General features: G+C 39.3%; 1 protein-coding gene across 10 annotated transcripts, besides 2 other annotated features; it reads right to left on the bottom strand.

Annotated features, from left to right (window-relative positions):
* Window positions 1–106: 106 nt before the first annotated feature.
* FAM177B (family with sequence similarity 177 member B) lies at window positions 107–13,909 on the bottom strand. 10 transcript variants are annotated; one of them, NM_001394345.1, is made up of 6 exons: window positions 13,789–13,909; window positions 13,090–13,207; window positions 4,392–4,580; window positions 4,030–4,096; window positions 1,549–1,646; window positions 107–1,190 (listed from the first exon to the last, which is right to left on the bottom strand). In NM_001394345.1, the coding sequence occupies exons 3-6, from the start codon at window positions 4,563–4,565 to the stop codon at window positions 1,053–1,055; spliced, it is 477 nt and encodes a 158-aa protein (NP_001381274.1). In that variant the 5' UTR covers window positions 4,566–4,580; window positions 13,090–13,207; window positions 13,789–13,909; the 3' UTR covers window positions 107–1,052. The 10 variants fall into 10 exon arrangements, 9 of the variants coding, with proteins under 9 accessions (NP_001381274.1, XP_016856770.1, XP_016856771.1 ...); XM_017001281.2 differs by adding an exon at window positions 8,492–8,574 and having other exon boundaries at window positions 13,090–13,821; XM_017001282.2 differs by lacking the exons at window positions 13,090–13,207; window positions 13,789–13,909 and adding exons at window positions 8,492–8,574; window positions 11,279–11,438.
* Window positions 12,147–12,196: a silencer, noted in NCBI's record as "silent region_1836". NCBI's record gives its function as "represses an Ori minimal core promoter by ATAC-STARR-seq in GM12878 lymphoblastoid cells {active_cell/tissue: GM12878}" and the evidence as "EXISTENCE:reporter gene assay evidence [ECO:0000049][PMID:35858748]".
* Window positions 14,126–14,667: an enhancer, noted in NCBI's record as "NANOG-H3K27ac hESC enhancer chr1:222909786-222910327 (GRCh37/hg19 assembly coordinates)". NCBI's record gives its function as "activates a minimal SCP1, AML or CMV promoter by ChIP-STARR-seq in naive and primed H9 embryonic stem cells {active_cell/tissue: H9 hESC(naive and primed)}" and the evidence as "EXISTENCE:reporter gene assay evidence [ECO:0000049][PMID:30033119]".

Raw genomic sequence — 15,327 nt, 5'->3', positions numbered from 1 at the left:
AGGCCTACTTCTGTCTTTGATTTCATATTAAATTAATTCCAACTTCCTCTTCTCTTAGAGCTATAATTTCAGTTATATATGGCTGCATAACAAACCACTCCAAAGCTTAAAACAACAATAAATTATTATTTCTCATAATTCTGTATAACAATAACAAGCAAAGTCAAGTCACCCATATTTTACAAAGTAGACTGGAGCTCAGAAATCTAGACATCTCAAATCACACAACTAGTAAATGGGAGAAGTGAAACTGGAACTCATGTCTTACTACTGCAGGCCCTGTGTTTTTCATTTTTTTTTTTTTTGGTTTGTTTTTTGCTATTAATGTATCACAGTTACTTTGGCCAGCACACCCTGTGTTATCTAACAATGATTTCCATGTTCGATCTTTCCAGGTTTTGAAAATTTCTTGACAAATAAATAAGAAAATAATCCATTAATATTTTTTTCTAGAGCTTATATTATTTATCAATTGTTTTAATTTGGAGGGATGTACCTAATTCTTAAAGATCTTGATAATGATCTTGTAACACAGTTATTAGCAATGTTTACTTATTGTAAAACAATCCCCAACTACGCCAGGATGGTTGTTGGAAGTACACACTATATCAAATCCTGAAAGGGGATTTATTTAGACTTTGCGGTGCCCAAATTTTCTTCTGAGGAATAGAGCTTCTTTACTGTACCCTCGTCCCATGACAGAGGATTTCAGCCAAAAACTCCCAGTCCCAAAGTTCCTTAAGGCATTTATGCTACTGTGCAAATGTCAGTACTCATGGGACTTGTATCACAGGGGTGGAGTTGAGGTGGGGTGGCTTGAATATAGAAATTATTCTGAGAAAGTGTCCAAAATTACTCTCATTATTGCTTGTAATTCCTGGATGCTTGAGACTAAGTCACACAGAGATTAGGATCAGATCTGGCTCAGAAGTGCTACCTCTGGTGTTGTTGCCATGGTAATCAATGGCCAAGGAACAGATCCAGGGAAACTGCAGTCTTTGCTGCCATCATGAGCTAGGATCTGCCACCAGACCCTCCCTGGATGAGGTGCTTCACTGAGGAATGGCCTCTGTCACATCCTGTTGTATGGTTCCATACTCTTGGACCCCAGCCTCCAAGTGACACTTTTCATTAGGAACCTCAGCTGCCTGGGCCTTTGATCCTCTCCTTTCACTTTTGTTGTCACTTTTCTGTTTTGGAGAGAAATAAGGAAATGTTTAACTGTACAAACAAAGACCTCTGAACTCCCCCTCTTGTATATAATGCCCATGTAAGAAGCTTCTACTTTAAGCAATCTGAGCCTTCTCACCCAACTACCTTCTTCTACAACACAGCTCATGACATCCTAACTTCGCAGGAGTGAGGCAAATGTGAAGAAGTGTCCCTGGGTGAACAGAACTAGAAAAATAAGTCAGTCTGACTATGGGAGCTTGGTGAAATTATAGTACATATGACCAGGTGGGAAAAATACTTCTCTATACTGGCCTAAATTTGGAGCAACCAATATTCCCATCTCAGGCCCCTTGTTTCCATCAGAGTGTCACATACCTTGTTTTGTATCCTATAGAACTCGTTTAACACATACTGATATTTGGGTTGAGTAAGACCAAAGAAGACAGCAAATCTTCCACCAAGGAATTCACATGCTAAAAGAAAGAACGAGCACTTGCGTAAACTGAATTACTAACTAAAGCTTCGCATCAGTTGAGATGCCCAGAGTTTAAACTATTCTGATAGTATAGTAATAGTGGTCTATTACTATACTTAACTTCAAGGCTGACAAAACATTTCAATTGCCTTGGCCTCTCAAAAATTCTAGGATTCAAAGGAAATTTGTCAAATCTTCTATCTTTATATGGGATTATATATAAACTATTTTTTCCAGATGTATATATCAGGAGAGATTTTCAATATACTTTAACAACAGGTATAGCATGGGTCCTGAGCAATCAGAACAGGTATTGTTCATTATCCCCATGCATACCGGCTAAACATCTGCTCCAAGTATATTTCAAATTAAACCCAAACTCAATCCAGTGTTACCAAGACCCACATCAGGAATTCTTCCATGCATCCAGACAGACTTCTCAGAAGTTGTTTAAGGCCTTCCTTTTCTGCCTTCAGTAGCAAGGTGGCCTGCAGGCTCAGCACTGGGATTGTTAGAGTCAGGGATAAAGGCATAGCATGAATAATGAGTGGTTTCCTAAAGAAGTCTCCTAGAAAAGTTTTCCTTTACAATTAGAGGATTTCCGACAGCCTTCTCTTACCCCTGAATTATAGGACTTTCTGATTCCTCTGACTCATTCTACCTCTTGGGATATTGCTCATATAGGGCATCAAAATGATGCTGTTTTTAAATATGTCTTATCTTTTCATTAATATGCTATCTCTTTGTCCTGTTTATTTGCTGCACTGCCTAGTACATGTGTAGAAGATAACTTTTTAAAAAAATATTAAAATAAATCTTAGGAAGCTTTCCTGTTTATGACCTACTAGAATTTTAAATTGAAAAAATTAATTACCTGTGTCGTCTGAGTTCCAACTCCATTCAAACAAAATCTCTGTGTAGACAGACCACAGCACTGACTGCTAGCATCTTTATGCCTCCACTACAATCTTGAAGCCCCAGTCAGGAGCATTTTACCACTGCAGTTCTGTTTGGCACTCACAAGGAAGCTAGGCTCACCATACATCCTATCCCTGCAATCTCAAATCAAAACCCAACATGCAAATCATTCTTCTTCTCCATACTCTCAATCCCATATTGAGTTTTGCTTCTTTTACCTGACCTAATCTTCTCCAATTCCCTCCCTCTAAAACATATCTTTTCAAACCCTTTTGCCTTAACCGAAGTGTAGAGAGCTTTCTGGAAGACAGCATTTTTTTTTCTGTTAACTTATTGTGGTCAGGGTAGGGTTGGTATTCACGGGATTTTCAACGTAACTTCCAAATCACTAACCCTCTGCACTTGTGTAAAAGCACTTATTTCTTGAAGGTTCATACCATCTGCCTAAATCACCCCATCTTTACTTTTTACTGTAATCTAAAGATTCCCTGGTCACTTTCATGGTCCTCAAGCTAGCCTTAGCCAGCCACACTTTCATAGCTCTCTTAAGGGGTCTCCCCCACATGTCAGCATGCCCGAGTCTTCCAGGTCAGAGCCCCTATACACTTTCTACCCTGGCAACTGTGACAACAAATTATAATTACGAGCATGTTTGCTGGTCTATATGACTCACTGAATATTGAGTCCCTTGAAAGCAGAGACTTGTCATTCATCTTTGTGTCCCAGGGTCCAGCACAGTGCTGAGCATATAGTAGACACTTACTAATGTTTTTTAAATGAATGAATGAAGATCAATTTCTAAGAGCTATTAATACAATTTCTATTTTCTCAGACTCTTAGTTTGCCTTCCTATCATATTCACAAGATGTGCAAGTTAGAAGGAAATGAGTAATTAGATGTTGTCAACTATGTCTTAAAAAAATTGATGAAAGTCAAGCAAAATAAGATTTAGTATTTTAGTTGTTATAAGTATTCACTTAGCCCATTCATTATGCCCCCAGGAGGGATCGATAAAGTTCATGTTTATAATAAAGCAGTTATGATGAGGGAAGTTAGAAACTTAGAACTGTGTCATACAACAATCATTGTTTTTTTAACTTGGAAGTTTATTCAGAAGAAGAGTCAACTCAGGGAGGACTGATTATTGCCCTCAAATATTGCCCTCTGTCCTATGAAAGAGGCATCTATAGCAGTTTTGTATGGTTAAGAAAGATAAGTAGGAACTTTAGAAGTAGATAAAATTTGGGCCGAGATAAGAATTTCCTGATGAGAGTTGGTAAAAGATGAAGGGTCTGCCTGAGGATGCGAAGTTCTGTGCCTTTGGGAATGAAAGCTTAGCCCAGATCTCACTTATTCAGGATGCGATGGAGTGGCTTACACAATTGGAAGTCCCACATACTCTGAGGGCCTATCGATATATATATTTGTTTAGGATAGAAAAAAATAACCTTAGCAGTACTTACTAGAAAATGAGGTGCTTGCTATTCGTCCTGCCCAAAATCGTAGGTAGGGCCCCCAGGAAAGTTTAGACTGAAAAAAGGAGAAATTGAGATAGAGTAGTTAATAAGAGGAATGGTGACTGCAGATTTGTTTTAATGTAGAGATTTCAAAATGCTCTATATAATATGTTCCATTTTCTCTCTCACAGATGAAGAGACCAAGATGATTAAAATTGTAAGTTGCCTATGCATGGATTTAGAAAGCAAAAAAGGAGACCAAGGACTTAGCTTAAAGCTATTCTTTCTATAAACCTTGTCTGGCTCAATCTCTTGTTCATTCACCGCCTCCCCCACCATGTTCCCTAATATTGATATACTAAGCTTACAGGGTCAAGTGTTGAATTTGTGCTCTGCTCCTCCTTTTCCTCTTCCTCCTCCTCCTCTGTGCTATATTCTTCCATGATGTCTCCGTCAACAAAATGGATAATCCTTTTAGGAGTAGTCTTTTTGGAAGGTACACTCTTCTCTAGGTCTAACTGCTGGAAACCGTCAATCTCCATAATGAAACAAAACAACTAGAAAATTAAAAACAGGGCACCTTAGGGCAAGTTACCCAGAGCTGAGAGTTATCTAGTTATTTTCAATGGATAGTAAAGACAGAGAACTCAGAGGTAATCACACCTGTGACCTCATCGATTCCTCAAATCCAAAAAAGGACTGTTCTATTCTGTACCAAAATGGAAGAGATTTGATAAATAGCGAAAACGTGAACTTACAGTCTTCAAACAAAAGTGTCAACAGGGTTTTCTTACCTTTTGTTAACGTTAAAACACACAATTGCTAGTAGGAAGGGGTCACTATCCTGCAGACGTTTCTCAATTATTTCAATAAATATTGAGAAGCAATGAAGGAAATGGTTAAGAGTACAGACTTCACACAGACAGGAGAAAACATGTGCAAAGTATATATTTGGTAAAGGACTTATTTTCAGAACATGTAAAGAGCGATTACAATTCAACAGGTAAAAGGCAAATAACTCAATTAAAATATGGGCAAAATATTTGAGTAGAGATTTTACCAAAGATATACAGATGACGAATGTCATTAGTCATTTGGGAAATGCAAATTAAAATCATAATGAGATATCATAACATACCCACTGTAATGGCTAATTTTCTTTCTTTTTTTTGAAACAGACTTTTTTGCTCTTGTTGCCCAGGCTGGAGTGCAATGGCGTGATCTCGGCTCACCGCAACCTCTGCCTCCTGGGTTCAAGTGATTCTCTTGCCTCTGCCTCCTGAGTAGCTGGGATTACAGGCACCGCCTGGATAATTTTTTGTATTTTTAGTAGAGACAGGGTTTCACCATGTTGGTCAGGCTGGTCTCAAACTCCTGATGTCGAGTAATCCACCCACCTTGGCCTTCCAAAGTGCTGGGATTATAGGCATGAGCCACTGTGCGCAGCCTAAAATTTTTTTGGGGGGCTGCAGAGACAGAGTCTTTCTCTGTCACCCAGGCTGGAGTGCAGTGGTGCAATCATGGCTCACTGCAGCCCTTACCTCCCAGGCTTAAGCAATCTTCCCGCCTCAACCACCTGAGTAGCTGGCACCACAGGTGCGTGCCACCAAGCCTGGCTAATTAAAAAAAATTTTTTTTTATAGAGATGGGGTCTCACTATGTTACCTAGGCTGGTCTTGAACTCCTGAGCTCAAAAGATCCTCCCACCTTGGCCTCCCAAAGTGCTGAGATTACAGATGTGAGCCACTATGCCTGGTCTCTTAAAAGTTAAACATAAAATCTTGTAATTTCACACCTAGATGTTTATCCAAGAGAAATGAAAGCGTATGTCTCCCTAAAGATTTGTATGGGAATATTCGTAGCAGTTTTATTTGTGAACACTCCAAACTGGAGTCAACTCAATGTCCATCCACTGACGATGGATAAACAAAATGTGGTCCATATATTTAATAGAATACTCCTCAGCAATTAAAAGTAATAAACAATGAATATTTGTAACACTGTGACTCTCAAATGTATTATGCTAAGCAAAAGAAGCCAGACACTGCATCGTATATAATTCCATTTATGTAGAAATTTAGAAAAGGCAAAATTATAGTAGAAAACAGATCACTGTTTGCTAGAGGAGAGTGGGTAGGGGTTAAGATTAACTATAAAGTGACAAAGGGAGCTTTTTGGGGTGACGGAAGTGTTCTAATAGATATCATGATCATAATGTCGGTTACTTGACTGTATAATTTGTCAAAATGAATCAAATTCTACACTTAAAATTAGTTCATTTTATTGTATTTAAGGTATATCTTAATAAAGCTGGAAAGCTTTGGAGATAGACTTCCTGGATTTAAAATCCTATTATTTAATATCCCAGTGTCTTGGTTTTCTCATTTATAAAATAATAGTATGAAATGATATAGTGCCAACCTTATAAAATTGTAATGAAGAGTAAATGAGTAAAGACACATAAAGAAGTTAGAACAATTCTTAGCAAATGGTGTTTAATAAAAGCTGGCTATTATTAAGTACCTATAATTTACTTAGCAGTGTATATGTCAGGCAGTATTCCAATGTTGTAAGGATACGTACACATGTATTTTTGCCTTTTTTTTTTTTTTTTTGAGATGGAGTTTCACTCTTGTTGCCCAGGCTGAAGTGCAATGGCACAATCTCGGCTCACTGCAACCTCTGTCTCCCAGATTCAAGCGATTCTCCTGCCTCAGCCTCCTGAATAGCTGGGACTACAGGCACCCACCACCACCCCCGGCTAACTTTTTGTATTTTTACTAGAGACGGGGTTTCACCATGTTGGCCAGGCTGATCTCGAACTCCTGATCTCAGGTGATCCACCCGCCTCGGCCTCCCAAAGTGCTGGGATTACAGGCGTGAGCCACCATGCCTGGCCTCATATTGTTTTAATTAAGATTTAAGATACTTTAAAATTATATCAACCAATATGGCTGAATGATGTAGAATAATTCTTCCTATTCCAGACACACAGAAATGCTGGATGAAATTAAATGAAAACATTAAATCATAAGTACACTAAGGAAGCAGAAAAAAGAGAGAGACCTAGGGATAGAGATGAGAGAGAGAGGGGCAGGGGGTTGAAAGCAAGTCAGCCAGCCTAGATGTCAGAATAAGAGAAAGAACAAAACTATAAGTATGAGCTGAAGCCGAGATGGTTGCTGGGGGGTTCAGAACCAGATATAGGCCTTGGAGCTGGAGTTTTATTACCAATAGAGAGAAGAGAGTCCAAATCTCAGATCCCATGAGTGTGGAGAGCTGAAATGAAGCCACCTGCATAAAACTAAGGTAATAAAATACTATCTTATCTATAAAATATGGACAGGAAAATCTACCCCCAGCTTGCAAAAGTAGCAAAGTAATTTGCTATCTCCTAGCAACAAGGGTAGAAATAGTCACCTAAAAAATATTGGAAACCCCCGCCAGTACCACATGCTGGTGTGTGGCCCAAATTCATAGTCCTCATATGCTGTGAAAACCTAAGATGAAGCTGAGTGAAATAAAGGCAGTGTAATCCACTGAACTCTGTCAGACGCCAAGTACAAAGTCACCTTGGAGGAATAATTCAACAAGACAGGGTATACTGAATCTCCACTAAAAACAATTCATGGCCGGGTGTGGTGGCTCACGCCTGTAATCCCAGAACTTTGGGAGGGCAAGGCGGGTGGATCGCATGAGGTCAGGAGTTCCAGACCAGCCTGGCCAACATGGTGAAACCCTGTCTCCACAAAAAAAAAAACAAAACACAAAAATTAGCCAGGCATGGTGGCAAGAGCCTATAATCCCAGCTACTTGGGAAGCTGAGGCACTAGAATTGTTTGATCCCAGGAGGTGGAGGTTGCAGTGAGCCGAGATCATGCCATTGCACTCCAGCCTGGGCGGCAGAGTGAGACACTGTCTCAAAAAACAAAAACAAAAACAAAAACAAAGCCAACAAATGCCTGCTGAGGATGTGCTTATTGTAAAAACTTACAAACTACATGAAGAAATTAGGCATCTGGAGGAAGGTTCAGCTGATGAGAAAACTGGGAGAGTCCTCACCTGAGAATTAGGAATGATAGGACAACAGGAAACATTAAAATTAGTGTGCTTAACATTAGGTTGGTGCAAAAGGAATTCCATTTTTTGCCATTAAAAGTCATGGAAAAACCGCAATTACTTTTGCCCCAAACTAATATATTCAAAAAGATAAAAGAAGCAAAATACAATATCCCGAAAGAAGACTGACTTGGAAAAGAACAAATTGCAGAAAAAAAAAATATCGTCGCATAGTCGTAGGTTGGATATTGATTAAGCATACGAAGAAATCTGAGAAAAGCTCTCACAATATAGTATAATTTTTTTTCTTTTGATGGTTGACAGATTCTTTTATTAACAGTCAAAAACTTCACACAATTGGAAAATAAATGTTTCTTCAATGAATAATCAAACAAAAATTATCCAGGACCTTATAGGATTTTCAGTATGTACCAGGCTTGATGCACATCTTAGAAGACAGGACATTATCTTGCTGGGATCATTAGGTTATGACTGAAAATGAGAAACAGTAATTTTTAAAACATTTACCTAATAATAGCTTTCCCAAACAGTAGTTCCCCTGAAATTAAAATAGGAAATACAATTTATGTTTATGTGTGGTTTTAGATATGACTCAATGTACATCAATTTTAACTTTATGGTTTGGTATTACTTTTTAAAAGGCGGTCAATAGAAATTCAAATCTCACTTTAAGACCATGAATTTCAAGTTGCAATGAAGTGTACAATAAAGTTGTAATTTCTCAACATCAAAGTTTAATTATTACGAAATAGTTCAAGCAACAGACAATACAGTATAATTTATGTTGGAGTGTGGGGTGAGAAAAAAAGAGATATATATTTAATATGAAAGAAAAGTTAGGTGATATAAAGGATAGATGAGAAAGTTCAGTACGTCTAATAGTAGTTTCAGAAGTGAATACAGGCCGGGCGCTGTGGCTCACACCTATAATCCTAGCAGTTACAGAGGTTGAGGTGAGAGGCTGACTTGAGGCCATGAGTTTTAAACCAGCCTGGGGAACACTGTGAGACCTTGTCTCTATGAAAGAAGAAAAGAAAGAAAGAAAGAAGGAAGGAAAGAAAGAAAGAAAGAAAGAAAGAGAGAGAGAGAGAGAGAGAGAGAGGGAGGGAGGGAGGGAGGGAAGGAAGGAAGAAAGAAAGAAAGAAGAAAGGAAGGAAGGAAGGAAAAAAGAAAGAAAGAAAAAAGAAAGAAAGAAGAAAGAAAGAGAGAAAGAAAGAAAGAAAAAGAAAGAAAGGAAGAAAGAAAAAGAAAGAAAGAAAGGAGGGAGGGAGGGAGGGAGGGAAGGAAGGAAGGAAGGAAGGAAAAGAGAGAGTTGAGCAAGGTGGTGCATGCCTGTTGTTCCAGCTACTTGGGAGACTGAGCTGACAGACTTGCTTGAGTCTGGGAGTTTGAGGTGAGGTTGCAATGAGCAGCGATTGTGCCACTGCACTCTAGCCTGGGCGACAGAGAAGATGCCATCTCAAAAAAAAAAAAATAGAGAATTCAATATCCAGCTAAACAATAAGTGGGAGTAATGTAATGATATATTCAGACCTACAAAAACTGAGCATTAACCATTCCTGCATCTTTATTGAAAGATTAATAATAGGAAATTCTATGTCAAGAAGAAGAAAACTAAACCCAGAGGTAAGAAAAAGTAAGATGTCCCAGGCATGGTGGCTCATGCCTATAATCCCAGCACTTTGGGAGGGCAAGGCTGGTGGATCACTTGAGGCCAGGAGTTCAATATCATCCTGGCCAACATGGCGAAAACCCGTCTATACTAAAAAAAATACAAAAAAATTAGCCGGACTTGGTGGCATGTGCCTGTAGTCGCAGCTACTCAGGAGTCTGAGGTGGGAGGATCGCTTGAACCCAGGAGGTGGAGGTTGCAGTGAGTTGAGATTGCACCACTGCCCTCCAGCCTGGGTGACAGATTAAGACTGTCTCAAAAAAAAAAAAAAAAAAAAAGAAAACAAAAAGTAAGATGCAATAAATATAAGTAAAAACATTAGTAAACAGGATAACAAACCCGGGCGCGGTGGCTCACACCTGTAATCCCTGCACTTTGGGAGACTGAGACGGGCAGATCGCGAGGTCAGGAGATCAAGACCATCCTGGCTAACACGGTGAAACCCCGTCCCTACTAAATATACAAAAAATTAGCTGGGCATAGTGGTGGGCGCCTGTAGTCCCAGCTACTCGGGAGGCTGAGGCGGGAGAATGGCATGAACCCGGGAGGCCGAGCTTGCAGTGAGCTGAGATCGTGCCACTGCACTCCAGCCTGGGTGACAGAGCGAGACTCTGTCTCAAGAAACAAAACAAAACAAAAACCAAAAACACTATTTTGGTGGGGACAGTATAAAGACAAAACAGTATTAAGTATTAGATAATAACAAAAAATATGAGCTGACAGAATTCTAAGTATTGTTTTGGGATAGGCTGGATAAGATACGTTGTGAAGTATGCATATTAACAATTGAAAGGTAACTAGACAAATAATGGAATTAGAATGTATAGCTTCAAAACCAGCAGAAGAAAATAAAAAAGAACAGAAACACTGTGAAAGAAGGCAAGAGAGAGGAAACAGTAAGGAAAAATCATGATCAAAAGAAACACTAAACAAAATATTAGCATTAATTCCAAGTTAAGTCAATAATCATAATAAATGCAAATGGACTGTCAGTCATCCATTAAAATGAAGACTAGAAGATCGAATTTTAAAAATATTTTATGGGCAATGCAAACATGATTGAATATACACACATATATATTCATATATGCATATGCTTATATATATAAAAATAAATCACCAAATCTTATTGCTACAGTGCTGAGTTTAATGCCTTTGTCAAAGGTCAGAGTTGCAAAAGATCTGCCAAAGGTTACATTTGTCATCCACAGCAAGGTGATGTGGTATCTGCCCTGTTTGGGGACCTCTGAATGGTACACATGGTTTCCCCTGACTTAGTAATGGTGTATCACAGAAAAGCCTCAGTAAGAAGTAGGAAGAGGTATTATCATTTAGTTTCTGATGCTAAATAGCAGCAAAAAATACCCATTTTAATTTGGTATGTAAGACCAACAATATGTTAAGCATAATACTATTGCACAAATAAATACTATCAGTGCCATAGGAAACAAAACACATTCTGCAACAACAAGCAAAATAAAACATTTTCAAAAAGAAACTTACATAATTCCTCTGTATTTTTCTTTCATTAATTAGTGATGTTTGGTGTTGAAAGTAGTACAAATTTTGATGTTAGAAATTGTTCAATAGATGATAAATTTAAGAGTTAAGGGTTCTGTAGGCTGAGGCCATACAGTGCACTTGGATATGCTGACGTGGAAGTGTTCTCTTGCGTGTCTTACAGGGTGGAACATGTTTGAGTTGTGGGAAGGTCTATATTTATACATCCAATATTAGCTAAGCCCAGTGGCTCTCAAAATTATTTTGTTATGAGAATCATCTGGGGGTCTTTTAAATAATTTCAAAGACAGGCCACACCTAAGACCACTTAAATCACAATCTCTGTGGGTAGAACTCAGGCACTAGTATATTTTGAAGCTGCCCAGGTCATCCCAATGTTCAGGCAAGTTTGGGGACCAGTGCCCTAAAGAGAGTGAGAAAAGAAGAAACTTTGAAACTGAAACAGAGACTTGTGATTTAGGGATTTGGTGTATTGCAGAAAGCTTAAACATCAGGCTAGTTGTAAGACATCTTGTCTATTTTTTTTCCAAGAGGCTTTCTTGCTTTCTACTTTCTAAACACTTCTTCACACTGCCCCAAGCTAAAAAGCTTAAATATCAAAAGTTTAAAAATAAGGCCTAATAGTCTCATTATAGTCAATTTACTCCTCTTAAGACTGTCCAAATTCATACATTTCCAAACCAAATGAAACATACGCACACCCTCATCCCCTGTACACCTGGCTTGCCTCTATTATCTTACAGACTGATGATATCTGTTGGCTCTCTGAAGAAAATACCAGTCTTCGTTCTTTATGATTATGGTGTTGTGCATTAATAGCCATATACATCTTTAAGTTCAGAGGGCTCTTTGGGAGGTTGGAGGGGAGTGGAGAGAGAGACCGTGAATGAGCACAAGAGTGAGCACTAGCTAGCTCACAGTTGGTTTACTGAATGTTTTTCTGCCACCTAATGGGCATTTTAGAATATGCTATGCAAAATTCATCTTTGTAATCGGTACATGTCACACAGAGGGGTCTCAATAGTGAACAGTTTGGAATCAACTTATTTACAAAAACCTTGGGAACATTGCCAGCTTCACACCTAGATGTCGGTATTTTGTAAGTGATCTTCTTTTGGCTTTGGTTTAATTTTTTTTTTCTTTTTTTTGAGACACGGTCTTGCTTTTGCCCAGGCTGGAGTGGTGCAGTGGTGCAACCTCGACCTCCCACAGGCACGTGCCACACGCCCAGCCTTTTTTTTTTTTTTTTTGCAGTTTTTGTAGAGACGGAGTCTCCCTATATTGCCCAGGCTGGTCTTGAACTTCTGGACTCAAGCGATCCTCCTGCCTCAGCCTCCCAAAGTGCTGGGATTACAGGCATGAGCCACTGCGCCCGGCTCAGTTTAATTCTTGGGAGCACCTCTACCTTTTGTTTCTTAAAAACCCCAAATACAGACTATGAAGGATAGTTCCTAAGTATATAATGTAATTAACAGGCCATATAATCTCTCTGACCTTTTAAATATTGTATTACCCCAGGGCTCAGTGATTGGACCTCTTCTCTTTCCTATCTGCTTTCTTGATGATCTCCTTTGGCCCTGTGGCTTTCAATACTATCCACACACAGATGATTGTAACATTTATATTCTCCAGGTCAGACTTTTTCCCTGAGTCTCACAGATCCAACTACCTGCTTGACATCTCTTCTTAGTTGTCTAATGGACATCTCAATCCTAATTTGTCTAAATCTTTGCTCATGCTTTCAGTGCAACTCTCCCTCCATCCCCCCAACACACACATACTCACACATTTACCTCTACTCTTCTGGCAGCCTTCTCATCTCAATAAATGGCAACTCTGTTCTTCCAGTTGCTCAGGCCAACAACACTAAAGTCATTCTTGGTTCTTCTTTAATCACACCTCACATCAAATCTGCCAGGAAATTGTCTTGGATATTTCTGGAATCATACTTTTCATTACTCCACTGCTACCACCCTGGTCTATCATCTCTCACCCTTGCCGTCGTCTCTCACCTAGATTATTGCAGCAGCCTCCTAATTGGCCCCCTCCAGTCTACGCTCGAAAAGGAGCCAGAATTGTTAAATCCTAAGTGAGACCATGTCATGTCTTTGCTTAAAACTCTCCAGTGGGTTCCCGTCTCACCTAGAGTAAAAGCCAAACTCCTCATAATGGCCTACAAGGCTGTATACCTAACCCCTACGAGCTTTCTGACGCCATCTTGTACTACTCTCCCACCACTGACATCACTCTAACCCCACGGGCCTTCTTCCTGCAATTCCCTGACCACACAGGTCCGCCCTCTCTCTCTGCAGAGAGCTCTCTGCTGGCTGCTCTATTAGTCTTTCTTTCCTTAGACTGTTTCCTTGCTCATTTCCAGTCTTTAACTCAAATGGAGACTACACTGAGCTCCGCTTTCAAGGCAACCTCCCATTGCCTTCACCACCACCCTCTGCATCTTACCTCCTGTTTCATTTTTTCTCCTTAGCACTTACCAACACTGAACACTCCATATTCCACCTGTCTCTGTCTTCCCTTTCCTCCCTGTCCTGCCCCTTGGCAGAGGGGGAGGGTTTTACCTGTTATGTTCACTGCTGTATCTTCTGCCCCTATGATGCCTTACACGTAGCTGGAACTCAGTATTTGTTTAACAAATGAATCATACATTTAGTTAAGGTTAATGGGTGGGAGGAGTTATATAACAGATTGGAAAAATAAGAACAGACTTGTAACTGTCTTTATTTCCTGCTTTAGAAATTACTATCTTCATTTAATATTTTTCTGATTACATCTATCTACTAATCATTTCAATTAGCTCCTTCACTGAAACACAGCATTGTAATCTGTACCAAGAAAATAACACACTAGTTCTACATCTTGGCATTTAACTTCAATAAGTAAATATACTATTTTAAGTATGTAACACTTAAACATTTTCTAGAGCTCTTTCCATTTTCATTTATCTAGAAAATGTTTTCAAATGGACTGTTAAAATTCAGCTAAGAACTGATGTTGGGTCATTACGCTGGAGCTAATTAGCATTGCTTGCCTGGAGCTGCTGGTCCCCCTTCCTGCTTCCACCTTTCCTTTTTTCTGAGGTGGTTGAAAGGTCAAACCCCTGGTGAGAGGAGAGAACCAAAGCCCCACTGCGTGCCTCAGATGCAGAGTTTCACAGCGTGGTATTCACTGGGTATTCACCGACATTTCTCTAGGCCCCTTCACCTGAAGGAACTGGCCTGCTCCAATCAGTGACTTGCAGTGTGTGTGTCAGGGGCAAGGATAGAGTGAGGAAAAATGTGAAATAACAAATCACTGCCGCTCCTTGAGAATTACAGGAGCATCACCTGGCAGGATTTTTGTATCCTTATTTTCAGTATTAAACCACATACATGCACCCCACTGCCTGCATGCCTGTCCATGCCTGTCCCACTGTGGTGTTTCACAGCATTTTTTACATCATGGCAGATAGAGAAAATTAGTTGTTTGGAATTCTGGAGGCGACCAGCCTGGGAGCTCCAGCCACCTTAAGTGCTGCCCAGCTAGACACCCAGAAGGCTTCGATCAATAGCTTGAGACAAACTACTTGAGAAGCTCTGCATTAGAGAAGCAAATTCAAGTCTTGACATTTTCTCAGGGGAGTGCTCTGAAAGTGACTATATAAGCTTCTACCGACCTCAAGCAAATCACAGGCATTAGATACATTAAATTGCTGAAGTGATAGCTCTGGCTTTTTGGATATGCACAATCAAATATAGTTTTCTGTTTTATAATTTGTCAACTCCCCTTCCAGATTAACTATTTTGATCCCTTTATTACTATAACATTCTTAAATATTTAAATTTTAAGCAAATTATTCAAATGTCAAATAAAATCTTTAGATACAAACTTATGGTAACCCAAAGTGACATTCCAAGTTTATTTTACACACATTAAGAGATAAGAAACCCAGTATTTTCTAAAGCATGAGTACTCTAATTCTGAAAGAATTCTGAATATGGTATTATTTCTGCATGCATTTATACAACGCTAAAAGT

Source organism: Homo sapiens, chromosome 1 (genome assembly GCF_000001405.40).
Source record: "Homo sapiens chromosome 1, GRCh38.p14 Primary Assembly".
NCBI classification, from domain to species: domain Eukaryota; kingdom Metazoa; phylum Chordata; class Mammalia; order Primates; family Hominidae; genus Homo; species Homo sapiens.
Note: the sequence above shows the minus strand (reverse complement) of the source record. Positions and strands in the feature narration are given on the sequence as shown.